Below are 16,173 nucleotides of genomic sequence, written 5' to 3'. Positions count from 1 at the left end.
GGAGCCCCGCAGCGGGAGATTCCCGGCCGGACTGGCGGACGAGCGTCGAGAGACAGAAGCCGAGGAGAGGAGGCTAAGCCGGGCGGCGCGGGGAGCGCACTGAGCAGGCAAAGTCGCAGGGCCGCCAGCATGTTCTCCCGAAACCACCGGAGCCGGGTCACCGTGGCCAGGGGCTCCGCCCTGGAGATGGAGTTCAAACGCGGCCGCTTCCGACTCAGCCTCTTCAGCGACCTGCCCGAGGTGAGAGACTCGCGTCCCTGCCTTCCCCTTCCGCGGCTCCCGGGGGCAGCCCCAGCCACCTCGGCCTCCTTCCCTCGCCCGCGTGCACGCCGAGGGGCGGAGACGCACGGTCTGGGTACAAACCCGACGGAGTTGTTGACTTAAAAAGTAAGGTGTGGACGGTCTGCATTTTCATCGGATCCATGCTGCCCATTCCGCGGCCTGGTTAGGATTATCTGCCTGAGCCTGGAAAAAGCCCGGGTTGGTCTCAATTTGTAGGGCCCCAGCTCGACTCCTAAAATGTGCCTGAACCCCAAAATGTCTTGGGCATCCCCGGGCCAAGGGCGGTGGGCAGCTAGGCGGGCCCCAAGCGCTCGGACTCTTGGCCTGGGCTCCCGCTTGTTCCCCAGTCGCCAGCCCCATCCCACAACCTGTCGCAGCCATCTGGGCCAGCCTCTGTCATCAACCCCGACTTTAGGCCGGGGCCGCTCGCTTCCCCGAAGCCCAATTCAAAGGCTCCTCTATGCCCCTGCAGGGCTTTTAACTCCTTGGGGTTACTTCCCACACGCAAAATTTCCGCCTCCTTTTCTGGGGCCTAAGAGGAGTCCAGCCCCTAGGCTGAGCGTTTCCCCCGTCCGCCGTCCACGCGTTAACCTGTTGGATCCCCACCTGTAACGCCCTAAGGGCTAGGGCGGGGCTGAAGGTGTGTGGTTGAGCGGGGACTGAGAGGGCGAATAGCTACCCCGAAGACTCTTCTGTCCCCAAGGTCAGACTCACACTCGCCCAAGGAGAGCCCAGTTCCAAGCCTTCCCTTCCGGGTCTGGAAAGGGTTAAGTGAGGTGGGCCTTCCTTCCGCCCCCTCTACCTCCCGGCTGGGATTCCAGGCCTGGCTTCTGCCCTTTCCCTCCAGCCTGCCCAGAACAAAGAGGCTCTTTCACACCCTTGTCCCGGCGTCCCGGGCCTTCTCTGACTCAGAAGCTAGTGGACCTGGGGAGAGGGGGCCTTTGTCGCGTCCCCTTGCCCCCAAGCGACTGGGCCCGAGGAACCCGCGTGGGGCCAGCGTGGGGGAGTAAGGGGCGAGGCCCGGGACCAGGGGGAGGGGCCTGTGAGCTGGGGCCGCCCCTGGGATTAGCCCGGCCTTCGGGGACAGCTCGGAGGAGCTGGGGCGGAGCCGCAGGGCCTGGCGGCCGCCGAGTGAAGTGTGACTCCGTGGGCCTGGCGTGGAGGCGGGGGCGCTAGGCTGCAGCTGGCTCGGAATCGGGGCTGGTTTCCTGTCTGGAAGGGAAGGGGCCTGCAGAAGGGAGCGGGGACAGCAGCAGACAGGCACACCCCTGCCTTCCTCTCTCCCTCTCCTCCCTTCTCTGGAAAAGCGAGGTAATTGTGAGCCCAGGGTGGAGCGGGCTGGATGGGGGCCCTGAGTTGGAAGGGGTGGCCCTAGGGCTGGGCTGCTTTGCCAACTCACCCCTTTGTCCCATTCCCTGGGCTCACTCTCCCCTGAGGTCCTCACCTGTGTGGCTCTTTTTCCCAACTTTCTCAAACTAAGCTGGAACCCCTCTCGGGAAGCTCCAACCTCCTGCAAACCCCATGACTCTAGAACCTGCATGAGGCGTCGTTTCCCTGCCCCCTTCCAGTTGTGCCTGCCCCTCACTGCCCTCTCCGCACACAGATTCCCTGTCCACCAGGCCAGGGATGTGGGCGGGGGCTGGGGAGCGGCCAGAGTCGGAATGAAAGGGCCTTTTTCTTCCACAGCTGGGAGAACAGCTGCCACCAAAGCGAGACTGGACACTCTGTGCCTAGAGCCCCCTCTGCAGCTGGCCTTTCCTCCTGGGACCCCACTTATCCTCACTTCGCTTTCTTTTTCTTCCCTGCCTGGCTCCCGGCAGGGCCCCGGAGCAGCAGTGGGCGAGGAAAATTTGTCACAGCAGCCAGAGGGGTTTAACAGGAGTGCAGAGGGATAAGGGCAGCTTCTGCCCTCTGCCCAAGAGCTGGCCACCTCTTTAAAGACTGAGGGAACAGTGGGAGGAGGAACTGTGGGACAGTGTGGTACCTATCTGTCCCCCCTCTGGAGGGGTTGACAAGGGAAAGGGCACCGGGGGGCACAGAGATGCAGGACAGATTGCACATCCTGGAGGACCTGAATATGCTCTACATTCGGCAGATGGCACTCAGCCTGGAGGTAATCCCCCGACCCTTGGAGTACACACCTCCTTCACTTGCATCCCAGCCCCAATCTCTGCCCTGCCCATTCCTGCTACAGCATGGTGGGGAGAGCCAGGCCTGCTTAAAGTGGGAAGAGGGACAGGTGGTTCCCTATGCCTTGTGTTGGGTGCAGTGTGTGGACCCAGGCTCAGTTCTGCCCATCATAGTCTTATGTTTGCAGCAGGGTCTTTACACCTATTTCAGGAAGCTCTGTGGGTGAGTGTAAATGTCTGTTCTGGGGACAAGGGTTCCTTTTAGGCATGGGAAGAAGAGAGGAGTTCAATGTGAGAGAGGTTTACAGAAAGGATGTAGCCTTGCTAGAGAAGAGAAGGACTCTGGGCTATGAGTAAGGATTCTGCTGGCCCTTGAGACAGCAAGGTGCTGTTTATTCGTGTATTTGTTTTTTTCAATTCTTTACAGAGACGAGGTCTCACTATATTGCCCAGGCTGGTCCTGGCTCAAGTGATCTCCCTACCTCGACCTCCCAAAATGCCGAGATTACAGGCGTGAGCCACTGCACCTTGCGCTATGTATTATTAAACACATGTAAATTTTATGTACTATCTGCCAAGCTCTTTTCGACCATAGGATACCTCAGTGAATAAGACAAGAAAGTTCCATTGTAGTGGGAGAACAGAAATATACATACGAACACATAAATAATATCACATAAAGAAATTATGATGAAAATGGGGATGTAATGAAAATCAGATGAGGGAGGCAATGTTAGATGTGGAGGTCAGGGGAAGCCTCTGTTGGGAGATCTTTGAGCTAAGCCCAGGAGGATTTGGAGATATGTGAAGACTGGAGGAAGGGCAAAGGCCCTGATATGAGGATGAGGGTAATATATTTGTGGGAAAGAGAGAGCCAGTGTGGCTGGAATATAGTAGTTGGGGTGGAGCTGATGGGCAGGGGCCAGATCATGCAGGGCCTTGAAGGCCATGATAAGGCACCTGGATTTCACCTTAAGTGTGATGTTGGGCCATGGAAGGGTTTTAAGCAAGGGAATGACTCATGCCATGTTTTTAAATGATGGCTGCTATGGAGAATAGGCTGGTGGGAAGTTGAGGGTAGGGTTGGGGGTGGAGGGTTGGCAAGAGAGTTCGCAAATGTCCACCAGGTGGGAGGCTGTTTCACTCCCACTTCAGGTGGGAGTGAACCTGGTGGTGTGAATTAAAATGCTCATGGTGGAGAAAGGGAGTAGATTTCAAATGGTGGTGGTAGGTCTGACAGGATTTGCTGATGGATTGGATGGGAGGGCAAAGAAAGAGAACTCCAGGATGATTCCCAGGTATGTGGCTAAGCAACTGGGTGGTGTGGCTGTTTACGGAGATGGGGAAGATGGAGGAAGTTGTGGAAGTGACTGCCTGGACCAGGCAGGGGCTGCTGCTGAGAGGTCAGAGGCAGGACTGCAAAGAGTCTAGATCAGGAATGGCAGGATATTGTATGTGCTGTCCCCCCTCAAGCCCTGCCCCCACTCCCTGGATCATAGTAGATGTTACTGGTCAATTTTGGCACTCTTTATCAACGAGCCCAGACCTGGCCTCAGAATCTTTCTCAGGACCGTCTTGGCATAAACTGTGCAGGTTGTGTCCTTCACACAGGTGCCAGCCAGAGGTGAGAGTCCTGGTCTGGTTTCAGCGGCATCAGGAGGGAGCACGTTTATCTAATTTGTTTGCCTGGAGAGGGTCAGCTTTTTCTAATTTGTGGAAAGGTGTCCAGTGAACTCGTTGGGACTCTACCTAATTATCCTCCATCAGTGCATGAGATAAAACCTATTTGCCATTCATAGTCCTCTGCACTGTCCACATCAGTTACATATGGCTATTTAAATCTTACTTTTAGTTCATTAAAATAAAACAAAACATTAATTCCTTAGTTGCTGTAGCCATATTTCAAGTGCTAGATGGCTACTGAACATTTCCATCACCGCAGAAGGTTTTATTGGACAGAGCTGGTCTAGGTATGTAAATGTTTAAATTCTGCATCCTACCCTCCTCCAAAAAATGTAAATTTTCTCTGTGGAAGGCCTGTTCAAGTTCTGGGGCAGAGGAGATGCTTAGTTTCACTTTGGTCACTCTCCTTTAGGAGAGTGGCTGAGGGTGCTGTGTTCTTTCTCAACCAAGTTCAGCAGGTCCTCAAAAGAGAGACCCATTGATGTTTCAGGGAATGGCAAAAGAGATAGTCGTGGAAGAGTAAATCCAAGAAGACTTTCTGGAGGAAGTGACTCAAGTTGCAAGTAAAGGGGGCTTATTTTAAAATATGTGCTAGGCCCAGGTAGAGATGAGACTTTCCCATATAATTCTCAAACAATGCTACGAAGGAGGTGGAATACTCCCCATTTTACAAACTCAGGTTCCAGGGGTCAAATTCTGTGGGCTTGTCAAGTCCCTAAACCAGGATTTGTACTTAGCCCTGGTGGAGATTCTGAAGGGAAAAAAGGGTAGTGAGAAGCAGAGCAGGAAGTCAGAGACTTAAGAGAGTGGGAGGGGTGGAAGGGATATCAACAGGGGGCCTAATGTGTGTGGGGCCCATGACTCATCCTCTAGCCCCTTGGGATCTGACCCGGGTCCAGCTGACACCCAGCTCTGCGCTCTTTCCCAGGGGAAATGCTGCCCGCTTGGGGAGAGGGTGTGTTTGGGTGGGGAGGGGGCAACAAGGAACTATCCCTGGGTTGGGGAAACGCTAGAAGCACAAGGGTCCAGATCCTGAGCCAGGATTCCCAGTTCCTCTGCCTGAAAGGGTGGGAGCCAGTTTCCTAGGGCGCTCCCGGCCTTGGGCCTTGGGAGAGTGGATTTGGGGCTGGAGATCAGTAGGGAAATAGAGGAGGTGTCTGGACTCGTGGTCCCACTCATCCATGCTGGGCCCAGTGACCTCCCTAGGGCCCCAGCTCTCCCAATTTATACACTATTCGCCCTCCATACTCTCAGGCAAGGGGTCACCTTGGAGGGCAAACGCTACGCGGGAGGGGCCTCCCGGAGCTGGAGCACGTCGTGAAGGCCAGGAGCCTTTTCCAGGGCGGCGCGGGCGCACTCCTGGAGGTCCGGTCCCGCCGCGATGGAGTCTCGGTGGAGGCACCGCCTTGAGCCAAGCCCAGCCAGGTGCCCGGAGGGACCTCCAGCGCCCTGGTACCCCTCAGTTGCTCTCGCGGCAATTGGGAGCTGATGTCACCGGCGTCCTGAGCGCTGCAGCTGGAGGCGGTGCAGCTATGCTGGCGCCCTGGCTCCTCCGATTTCCCGCGGCCCTCGGACCCAGCCGGCTCCCCAGGCCAGTGCAGCTCTCTGGACCTCGCGCGCCTCTGCGCGCCTCTCGCAATGGAGCGGGCTGGGGAAGGATCCGTGAGTGCTGGGACTGGGATGAGACTAGCCAAGATGGGGGTTGAGGACACCTCCGTGTCCCCCTCCTGCCAGGCTCACCCATTTGGGATGTTTGTGGCTGAAGCTGGGTGCAGACTGGGGTGGGGGTTGTCGGGCAGCGCAGAACCCTGGTGCAGACAAAACTAGACTGGGAGGACCTATGTAGTCTGAAAGGGCTTCCTGGTGAGGGGCTTTGGGAAAGGGTTGGCTTATTACAGAAGGAAAACGGGTGGATGGTGATGGGGGAAGGTGATAAAAGTCCGGCCTAGCACAGTGGCCCAGAAAATAGCCAAGGAAGCATCTGTAGGCAGGCAGGACAAGGCTTTTTAGAAGAGGGAATTTAGGGTGTTCGGGTCTGAGAGACTTGAAGGCTGGAGCCACTAGGGACAGATGCAAGGGCACAGTGTATGGAGGAGAGCTGGTGTGAGGAAAAAGACAGGTTTGGAGTGGTCACATTAGTTCCCCTGTTTCAAATGGATGGCTCGACTTGTCTCCTGAACCAATCTGTACACTGTGATAGAGTTAGTCTTCCAACTCCTCTCTGAAGCTTTCCTTGATCACCTCAGCCAGAAGCAAACAGAGGCTGTTTCTTGTGAGCATGGTTGTGCCATGACATGGCACTTATGGAGCAGCCATTAAAGTCATCATCTCTCACCTCCCAGCTGGATTTTAAATGTACAACCTTGGACAGTACAGGGATGCTCCAGTGTTGACTGAGTAAATGCTGCTACCACCAAAGTATAGCGTCATTAAAATAAGCATCCCTGCCATTAATGTATACCACATGCTGGGCACTGTGCTAAGTGCTTTAAGTTCCTGCCTCACAGAATTCTCACAGCCCTAGGACTATTTCCATTCCTGATTTACAGATGGGGAAACTGAGGCTTAGGGAGGTTGAGCAAATTGCCCATTGCTTTTTAAGAAGCAGGACCTCCAGGGCTCCTTTCTAAATGAATGTTCCTGAGAATCCTGGTGTCTCTTCCAGGGCCTCTCAGCTGGCCCTTATCCACAGTCCCTCATTCCTGGACCACCTACCTTCCCATCCCCATTCCTTGCCTCTGACCTCATCTCCCAAGCTCAGAGGGCCGGTAGGTGGTGATTCTCTTAATTTGGGGTGTATAGGTTTCTGTGCAGCGTCAGTGAACACTGTAGGTGGTATGCTCCTTGTCCACTGATCCCTTGCCAACTAGATGTCCCTGGCATCACTTGAGTCTGAGGGATAACTCTCATTTGCCTTTCCTTCTGTCCATTCCCATGAGTTGGTGGTTCTCAACCTGGGTGTACCTCAGAATCACTTGGGGAGTTTTCCAAAAGTACATATGCCCCACTCCTAGAGATTCTTATTCTGCAAATCTTAGGTAGGGCCTGATCATTTTTTTTTAAACTCCAAAGATCTAATATTTTTTAAAGGAAATACAATTTCCAGTAGTACAAAGGGTATATATAAAGTATCATTAGGCTGGGCGCAGTGGCTCAAGCCTGTAATCCCGCACTTTGGGAGGCCGAGGTGGGAGGATCACTTGAGGCCAGGAGTTCGAGACTAGTCTGGCCAACATGGCGAAACCCTGTCTCTACTAAGAATACAAAAGTTAGGCCAGGCATGGTGTCTCACACCTGCAATCCCAGCACTTTGGGAGGCCAAGGCGGGTGGATCACCTGAGGTCGGGAGTTTGAGACCAGCCTGGCCAACATGGTGCAACCCCGTCTCTACTAAAAATACAAAAATTAGCTGGGTGTGGTGGCTCACACCTGTAATCCCAGCTACTCCGGAGGCTAGGCAGAAGAATTGCTTGAACCTGGGAGGCGGAGTTTGCAGTGAGCCGAGATCATGCCACTTCACTCCAGCCTGGGCAACAGAGTAAGACTCGGTCTCAAAAAAAAAAAAAAAAAAGAATACAAAACTTACTCGGGCGTGGTGGCACATGCCTGTAATCTCAGCTACTCAGGAGGCTGAGGCACAAGAATCACTTGAACCTGGAAGGTGGAAGTTGCAGTGAGCTGAGATCGCGCCACTGTACTCCAGCTTGGGTGACAGAGTGAGACTCGGTCTCAAAAAAAAAAAAGTATCATAAATGTTTTCCATCCCTGGCTCCCAGGCCTACAATCACTAATATTTTATGCATAAACATGCATATCTATATCTATGTATATATATGCATGCATACATATATATATATCATGCACAAATGGTAGTATGTGCAATACTACCCTTCTTTTCTCACATCATTTATTTTGGAGATTGTTTCATATCTGCATACATGTGCATATCTCTTTCCTTAATGTCTGCAATACTACAGGGTACAGATGTACTGTTACTTATTTAACCAATGTCCTACTGAAGGGGTTTTAATTTTGGTGTTTAAAACAATGCCACAATGAGGCCGGGCGCGGTGGCTCACGCCTGTAATCCCAGCACTTTGGGAGGCCGAGGTGGGCGGATCACAAGGTCAGGAGATCGAGACCATCCCGGTTAACACTGTGAAACCCCGTCTCTACTAAAAATACAAAAAAACAATTAGCCGGATGTGGTGGCGGGCGCCTGTAGTCCCAGCTACTTGGGAGGCTGAGGCAGGAGAATGGCATGAACCCCAGGAGGTGGAGCTTGCAGTGAACTGAGATCGTACCACTGCACTCCAGCTTGGGCAACAGAGCGAGACTCCGTCTCAAAAAAAAAAAAAAATGCCGCACTGAATATTTTTGTATGTATGGCTTTACCTAGATATATGTGAAATTATATGTGTAAGATAAACTGCTAGGTATTGGATAGCTGAATTAAAGGATATATGAATTTGTAGTTTTCATAGATTTTTTTCCAAATTGCACTCAAAAGAGGCTGAAGGAATTTATACTTCCAACCATCAAATGCATGAGGGCATCTCTATTTTTCTTATTTGTTTTATATATATATATATATGTTTTTTTTTTTTTTGAGCCAGAGTCTTGCTCTGTCGTCCAGGCTGGGGTGCAGTGGTGCAGTCTCGGCTCACTGCAAGCTCCGCCTCCCGGGTTCATGCCATTCTCCTGCCTCAGCCTCCCAAGTAGCTGGGACTACAGGCGCCCGCCACCACGCCCTGCTAATTTTTTGTATTTTTAGTAGAGACGGGGTTTCACCGTGTTAGCCGGGATGGTCTCGATCTCCTGGCCTTGTGATCCGCCTGCCTCTGCCTCCCAAAGTGCTGGGATTACAGGCGTGAGCCACCGTGCCCGGCTGTTATATATTTTTTTAGAGGTGGGGTCTCACTATGTTGCCCAGGCTGGCCTTGATCTCCTAGGCTCAAGGGATCCTCCCACCTCAGCCTCCCTCACACACCACTGCACCTGGCTACAAAGCTTCTCTGGTTATTCGTGGGCAGCTGAGATTGAGACCCAATGCCTGCTCTTGAACTGCCTAAAACATTAGTTTCTTGTCAGTTTTACTGGCCACAGCCCACCTGGGGACTGGGGAGTGCTTTAGCCTGTCCACTGACTGACATTTCCTTCTCACCCTTCCCCCAACCCTGGCTAGGACACGGAGTTGCAGAGGAAGCTAGACCATGAGATCCGGATGAGGGAAGGGGCCTGTAAGCTGCTGGCAGCCTGCTCCCAGCGAGAGCAGGCTCTGGAGGCCACCAAGAGCCTGCTAGTGTGCAACAGCCGCATCCTCAGCTACATGGGCGAGCTGCAGCGGCGCAAGGAGGCGCAGGTGCTGGGGAAGACAAGCCGGCGGTGAGCAAGGGGGAGACGAGGCCTCGATGGAGGCAGGAGGCCTTCTGGGTGGTGGTGGTGCAGCATGTGCGTGTGTGGCATGTGGACCACCTTAAAGATGACTTCCCCATGAAGTCTTATCAGGGACCTGGGAGAGACCTTGGTGTTTTACCACCACTGTGTGTTGCCCAGAGGCGCATTTGTGAGTAGCCAGGGCAGGACTTAGAAAAGTCGGTGTGTCTGGTGAAAGGTAGCTGATCTGAAGGGTAGCAAGTAATGCAAAAGCACTAATTTGCTAAGCCCTGTCTGTGATCCAGTAAGACTGGCTATCTGGCTTTTGGAAAATTAATTTCCTCAACGCTGGTTCACAAAATCACCAATTTACCACATACTGACAATAGTTTGTTATATCTGGGGTTCACCTTCAGAGGCAGGGAGTGGGAAAGGAAATAAGAAACCACTTAAGGAAAGCCTACCCATTCAAACAAATTAGATTGTGCATTCTAAAAGGGCTCAGCTTCTGGATGTAAAATGTAAGCAACACTGACATTAGACTGTTGATCTGACAAGTCTATAATGACTTAAGTGATGCCATGATAAAACCAAAATATTGGGGAAAATATTTGGCAAATTATTCTAAGAATATGCCAATTTGGATAAAGTGGTCATTTGGAGAACTGGTTTTTAGGAAAGTGGCCTACTTACTCCACTGAGGCTGCTAGGGGAAATAGTCCCAGCCCCTCACAGGTATGGTGCCCATTCCAGCCATGAAGGCTGACACAAGAGGAGGTTGCCAGGAGCTCACCCATGAAGCTACCAGAAGAAGGCAGAAAACCCACTGTATGGCTATCCCATGAAGCTAGAGGAAGGGCAAGCTGGTGGGGGGACAGCCTCTGAGAGGCAGCATGGACAGACTCTGTCCTGCCAAAGTCCTCACACAGCCCACACAGGTGATTTGAGGTACACCCCAAGTGCCTGGCAGCTAAACACATTGCCATTAGTGCCACATCATTTAGCTTAAGGCTCTACTAAGTCAGTAATTACTTTAGTGGCATTATGAGTAAGTACAGATGAACTGGCAGTCGCTTCAGGAAAGGGACACATGGTGAGTCCTGATGATGGGCAGGGAGGGAAGGAAGGTGGGGTGTCGGGCCCTGCAGTGGGGTGTGGGGGAGCTGCAGAACTTGGGGCACTAGTAGGGTACACCATATCAGGCCAGGAGGAAAAAGGAGAAATCAAAGTTGGGGAGTGGTAGGGAAGGAAAAGGGTCTGTAGTGAATGGAACGTAACTCTTCCCTATTGGTGATTTTCCTTTGAACAAATGTTGGCCAAATTATTTTCTGACCCAGTACCCTCCTATATCAAAGAAGTGATGGGATGGTGGGAAATAAGCAGCTTTCCTATTGTTAAAAAAAAAAAAAATAAAGACTGGAGACCCCTCTAAGCCAGGGGTTTAATGGAGAGCCCTGGAAATGAAGTCTTTCTGTGGGCACCTGTCCCCTCAAGGCTGCACCTGTCCTTGGCAGGGATCTGGAGAGGTGGTCAGGGAGGTTGCTTGGAGAGAGGAGCCCTGAGCTTGTGCCTTATGTGTGAGTTAATGTGGCTTGAGTGTCCCTGGTGTCCCCAAGCCTGGCAAACTGCTGGGTTCAATGAACAACTTTCCCTTATAGTCCCTCAGCCCTGCCTGTCGGCCTGGCTGGGAACCTGGTGGCTGAGGCGCTGGGATCAGGGGGATCCTAGAGTCGTTGGGACCAGAGCAAGGGGGAATAGTGGCTAGAGGCCAGGCCAGGACATTGTGATTTATCCACAGGCCTTCTGACAGTGGCCCGCCCGCTGAGCGCTCCCCCTGCCGCGGCCGGGTCTGCATCTCTGGTAAGAAGCACAGCTACCCCAGCTGCTGGTACCCCTTGCCCAAGCACACGGCCTCCTGCCCCATCTCAACATCTATTCTTACCCCTCTGCCCCTTAGACCTCCGGATTCCACTCATGTGGAAGGACACAGAATATTTCAAGAACAAAGGTGGTGAGTTCCACACACCCTGGGACAAATTCAGGGGAATGACCCTGAAGTAGGAGGCTCTCGTGGGACGTGTTTTTTGTTTTGCCCTTTGTCCCCAGACTTGCACCGCTGGGCTGTGTTCCTGCTGCTGCAGCTGGGGGAACACATCCAGGACACAGAGATGATCCTAGTGGACAGGACCCTCACAGACATCTCCTTTCAGAGCAATGTGCTCTTGTGAGTACCTCACACTGTGGCTACCTCCTTCCTCCACTCTGCTCCAGTTCTGGATGAGCGAGTTCCAGGGGAGGAAGCTGGGATGGGGGCAGGGTGGAGAGGAGGGGCACCTGGCCTTCTCTGTGGAGCTGTCCTGCACTTGCCTCACCCACATCCCCTACCCTCTGCCTCCCTGGACTTTCCTGTGACCACCCTCCTTTCTTCCTCCCACCAGCGCTGAGGCGGGGCCAGACTTTGAACTGCGGTTAGAGCTGTATGGGGCCTGTGTGGAAGAAGAGGGGGCCCTGACTGGCGGCCCCAAGAGGCTTGCCACCAAACTCAGCAGCTCCCTGGGCCGCTCCTCAGGGAGGCGTGTCCGGGCATCGCTGGACAGTGCTGGGGGTTCAGGGAGCAGTCCCATCTTGCTCCCCACCCCAGTTGTTGGGTAAGGCCTTGCACACCGACACCACCCTCAGCTGCCTGTATTCTGCCCACAGGTGACCTTTGAACTGTGTTGAGTGTGCAGAACCCATTTTGCATTGCTGCCAGGATGTGCAGACAGATATGAATGAGCAGTGGCCACGTAGCTGGGAGGCATTCCAGCCCACGCCCCAGAGCTGGGCTGAAGCCAGTCCAGAAGACCAGTGGGAAGGCAGGGAGACTTAGGCCCTGGGGTCTTACCTTTTTAGCAGCAGCAAATACATTTTATTTTTAGAGACAGGGTCTCACTATGTTGCCCAGGCTAGTCTCGAACTCCTGGGCTCAAGTGATCCTCCCGCCTCGGCCTCCCAAAGTGGTAGGATTACAGGCGTGAGCCACAGCACTCAGCCTAGCAAATACATTTTATGTGGATAGAGCAGAGCTTCTTGGTTGGAGCAGAGTACCCTGGGACCTATGGTGGTACCTAAATGCACCTGGAGACACCGCATGGGACCACTGAGACTCTGAGAAGCAGTTTGAGAACCTTTGGGTAGTGAACAGAATACTGATTTTGGACATAGATATGGGTTCAAATTCAAACTCCCCCACTTTCCACCTATAAATTATGGGCAAGTTTCTTAACCTCTCTAAGCCTCAAGCTGCCTCATCTAGTTGAAGAATGCCACCAACCTCACAGGGCTGTCATAGGAATACAGTGGGATAAAACATATAAAGCATACGTCCTGACACTTAGCTGGAGCTCGGTAAATGTTCATTCCTAACCCTCTGGGGAGGCAAGCGAGTTTTCTGTGGGGCAGTCTGAACAATGGGGCAGATCTGCTCAGCCCTTAGAGTTCCTGCTGGCCAACATGCCCCTCCCTTGGCTGATGCTCTCTCCTATCTCCCTCAGTGGTCCTCGTTACCACCTCTTGGCTCACACCACACTCACCCTGGCAGCAGTGCAAGATGGATTCCGCACACATGACCTCACCCTTGCCAGTCATGGTAAGTATGTGTGTGCATGGGGGACATACACATGTGATGGTGAGAAGAGGGGCTGTGGGATGGTCCCCTTCTCATTCCCCTACCTCACCCTGCACTTCCTCCTCCCCCAGAGGAGAACCCTGCCTGGCTGCCCCTTTATGGTAGCGTGTGTTGCCGTCTGGCAGCTCAGCCTCTCTGCATGACTCAGCCCACTGCAAGTGGTACCCTCAGGGTGCAGGTGAGGGGGCCCTGAGGAGTGGAAGGGAGCAGGGAGAAGGCAGAGGAGAGCTGGATAACCAGGAATAGAAGAGCTAATGAAAAATCAAGATTTGGGTGGAAGAAATGGGGTATGGCCAGACGAGGGGAGGAATGGACAGCAGGGTGGACAAAACGAACAGGTTCTCATGGGGGGCTGAGAAGAGGGATACTGGGGGCCGTGACTTCCCCAGAAAATGTTGAGTCATTTGTGCAGCAAGCTGGGGAGATGCAGAACTGGGCACAAGTGCATGGAGTTCTGAAAGGCACAAACCTCTTCTGTTACCGGCAACCTGAGGATGCAGACACTGGGGAAGAGCCGCTGCTTACTATTGCTGTCAACAAGGTGATGGGTCCCTTGGTAGTAAGGCCACCAAGGGCACAGGCCCAGGAGCCTCTCCTTCAGGCCCCAGGAGGGTGGGCACATACCTCAGAGAGATAGAAGCAGGCCTCCTGCTCCTGACAGTGCCACATCCAGCTTCAGGGGCCCGTATTTTCCCCAACTACAGCATCACTGTGAGAGGATCGTCCCATTCACTTGCCATCCTCAGTCCCTGCCAAATCTCAGAGAGGGTTCTCTCGCCTGCAGGTTCAGGGCTTTTCATCCTCTCTCCCTCTTCTCCCTCAGATTCCAATTTATATCTACTTTACCACTTCCCATTTCTCTCCAGGTCCAATTGCCCTTCTTTGCTCCCTATCCCTTTTATGGGCTTTCCTGCCTACTTTTTGTCAGTTCTGAGGGACCTCTGGCTGGAGCATCCTTGCCTACCTTTGTGTCTTCCCTGCCTTGCTCAATCCCTTTTTCCCTGTCTCAAGCTGCTCCTCCTCCCCTGACTCAGGACTGGCTGTCTCATCCCCAGCCCTTTTTTGCCATTCCTTCCTACTCTGGTCAGTAGGAGGCAAATGAGAGGGCTCAGCAAAAGCCCCACAAGCTCATTCTTCTAAGGCAGGCGTGATCAAGGCTGCCTGATTGTCACTGCCAACTTCTGTGACCAAGGTAGACCTCTTCTTTCTCCTGCAGGAGACTCGAGTCCGGGCAGGGGAGCTGGACCAGGCTCTAGGACGGCCCTTCACCCTAAGCATCAGTAACCAGTATGGGGATGATGAGGTGACACACACCCTTCAGACAGAAAGTCGGGAAGCACTGCAGAGCTGGATGGAGGCTCTGTGGCAGCTTTTCTTTGACATGAGTAAGAGAGAAGGGGGCTGGGTTGAACCTTTGGGAAGAACTGGAGTTTGTCATTTTTACTAAAGGCCTCTGTTTCAAGATTATGTGGAAGGGAATGTAGCAGGAGAAAGGGCAGCCTGGCTCTCTCTTTTAATCAGCGCTCTTCTTCCAGGCCAATGGAAGCAGTGCTGTGATGAAATCATGAAAATTGAAACTCCTGCTCCCCGGAAACCACCCCAAGCACTGGCAAAGCAGGGGTCCTTGTACCATGAGATGGGTAAGTGAGAGGAATGTGAACTCCAGGAAGCTAATGGGAAGTAGGGTTGGGGACTTCAAGAGAAACCAGATAATGGAAACAGAGAGAAAGCACACTCTGGGCTACACCAGATCTCTGGGGACCCAAGTCTCACCCAATCTTGTGTGTTCTTTTCTCCTCTCCAACTCTTTTTAGAACCACCTCCACCAAAGTTCAAAACAAAACCCCAGTGAGCCAGGATCATTTCATTAATTTCTTTCCTAATTTCTTCTTTTCTGTTTCCCTTTCTGCATGTGGATTCCTGTCTCTTCTTCTGACCCCTCACTTGCCTGGCACCGCTTTCATTTTCTCCTCTTGGTTTCTTCACCCACCTCTGCTCCCCACTCCTCCCCTTCCCATCCCCATCTACCTTGTGCCCCATGTCCCACAGTCTTATCAGAGCCTGTAGCCCCAGGGGGCCCAGGTGAGGGGCTGCTCCTGCAGGATAACGCAATCTCCACTGAGATCCAGGCTTTGCTTTCCTCCTATTACAGTGACAGGTGATAGGGCTGGGTAGGCTTGGGGCCTGAGCTCTGACTAGCCCAACCCTCCCCCAACCCCTTCCTGGTGCCACAGCTATTGAGCCGCTGGATGACATCGCAGCGGTGACAGACATCCTGACCCAGCGGGAGGGCGCAAGGCTGGAGACACCCCCACCCTGGCTGGCAATGTTTACAGACCAGCCTGCCCTGCCTAACCCCTGCTCGCCTGCCTCAGTGGCCCCAGCCCCAGACTGGACCCACCCCCTGCCCTGGGGGAGACCCCGAACCTTTTCCCTGGATGCTGTCCCCCCAGACCACTCCCCTAGGGCTCGCTCGGTTGCCCCCCTCCCACCTCAGCGATCCCCACGGACCAGAGGCCTCTGCAGCAAAGGCCAACCTCGCACTTGGCTCCAGTCACCAGTGTGAGAGAGAAAGGTGCTGGCATAGGATCTGCCCAGAAGAGAAAATGACCCATGCGCAGTTGGGCTCTGGATACGGCGCTGTCTATAGCAAGTTGGCCAGTCTGGCCTCCTGTTCCTCTGCTGGACCTGGGGTAGGCTGCAGGGGTGGGCAGAAGCCCCTCTTAAATTGTGGTTGCCATGGTACCGAGGGACTCATTCCTGGGGCTCGCTGGGACCTCCCTAAACCCTTCCTGGAAGAAAACTGGAACCAACTCTGCCCTACCTCCCTGCACTAACCAGCTTTGAGGATGGCACTGAAGAACCCTTGGAGCAAACATACCTCCCTTGTGACTCCCACATCAACCATTAAAGTTATTTAACAGCAGCCTTCACCTGGCTCCTGAGGACAGGGTGCCTCTCTCTGCCTGGTCTAGACCTGCCTCACATCATCCCTGGAGCATAGTTCACCAGCTGTGAAACATGACTGTGATACTG

At 53.4% G+C, this 16,173-nt stretch overlaps 1 protein-coding gene across 8 annotated transcripts, besides 5 other annotated features; it reads left to right on the top strand.

The window, feature by feature from the left end:
• Positions 9 to 16,111, top strand: RTKN (rhotekin). 8 transcript variants are annotated; one of them, NM_033046.2, is made up of 13 exons: positions 1,363 to 1,593; positions 1,969 to 2,395; positions 9,280 to 9,479; positions 11,269 to 11,330; positions 11,428 to 11,481; positions 11,577 to 11,694; positions 11,909 to 12,118; positions 13,004 to 13,098; positions 13,209 to 13,315; positions 13,550 to 13,678; positions 14,354 to 14,522; positions 14,673 to 14,777; positions 15,372 to 16,085. In NM_033046.2, exons 2-13 carry the CDS (start codon positions 2,324 to 2,326, stop codon positions 15,701 to 15,703), a joined length of 1,653 nt encoding a protein of 550 aa, NP_149035.1. In that variant the 5' UTR covers positions 1,363 to 1,593; positions 1,969 to 2,323; the 3' UTR covers positions 15,704 to 16,085. The 8 variants fall into 8 exon arrangements, 7 of the variants coding, with proteins under 7 accessions (NP_001015055.1, NP_001397772.1, XP_005264536.1 ...); NM_001015055.2 differs by lacking the exons at positions 1,363 to 1,593; positions 1,969 to 2,395 and adding an exon at positions 9 to 240 and having other exon boundaries at positions 15,372 to 16,111; NM_001410843.1 differs by lacking the exons at positions 1,363 to 1,593; positions 1,969 to 2,395 and adding an exon at positions 9 to 240 and having other exon boundaries at positions 15,187 to 16,063.
• Positions 309 to 368: a silencer, noted in NCBI's record as "silent region_11661". NCBI's record gives its function as "represses an Ori minimal core promoter by ATAC-STARR-seq in GM12878 lymphoblastoid cells {active_cell/tissue: GM12878}" and the evidence as "EXISTENCE:reporter gene assay evidence [ECO:0000049][PMID:35858748]".
• Positions 1,084 to 1,393: a silencer, noted in NCBI's record as "silent region_11660". NCBI's record gives its function as "represses an Ori minimal core promoter by ATAC-STARR-seq in GM12878 lymphoblastoid cells {active_cell/tissue: GM12878}" and the evidence as "EXISTENCE:reporter gene assay evidence [ECO:0000049][PMID:35858748]".
• Positions 1,821 to 2,558: an enhancer, noted in NCBI's record as "H3K27ac-H3K4me1 hESC enhancer chr2:74666515-74667252 (GRCh37/hg19 assembly coordinates)". NCBI's record gives its function as "activates a minimal SCP1, AML or CMV promoter by ChIP-STARR-seq in primed H9 embryonic stem cells {active_cell/tissue: H9 hESC(primed)}" and the evidence as "EXISTENCE:reporter gene assay evidence [ECO:0000049][PMID:30033119]".
• Positions 4,693 to 5,372: an enhancer, noted in NCBI's record as "H3K4me1 hESC enhancer chr2:74663701-74664380 (GRCh37/hg19 assembly coordinates)". NCBI's record gives its function as "activates a minimal SCP1, AML or CMV promoter by ChIP-STARR-seq in naive H9 embryonic stem cells {active_cell/tissue: H9 hESC(naive)}" and the evidence as "EXISTENCE:reporter gene assay evidence [ECO:0000049][PMID:30033119]".
• Positions 15,007 to 15,506: an enhancer, noted in NCBI's record as "H3K4me1 hESC enhancer chr2:74653567-74654066 (GRCh37/hg19 assembly coordinates)". NCBI's record gives its function as "activates a minimal SCP1, AML or CMV promoter by ChIP-STARR-seq in naive H9 embryonic stem cells {active_cell/tissue: H9 hESC(naive)}" and the evidence as "EXISTENCE:reporter gene assay evidence [ECO:0000049][PMID:30033119]".
• Positions 16,112 to 16,173: the final 62 nt, after the last annotated feature.

The sequence above is a fragment of the Homo sapiens genome, chromosome 2 (assembly GCF_000001405.40).
Source record: "Homo sapiens chromosome 2, GRCh38.p14 Primary Assembly".
NCBI classification, from domain to species: Eukaryota; Metazoa; Chordata; class Mammalia; order Primates; family Hominidae; genus Homo; species Homo sapiens.
The sequence above is the reverse complement of the archived record's forward strand: the minus strand, read 5'-3'. Positions and strand labels throughout refer to the sequence as shown.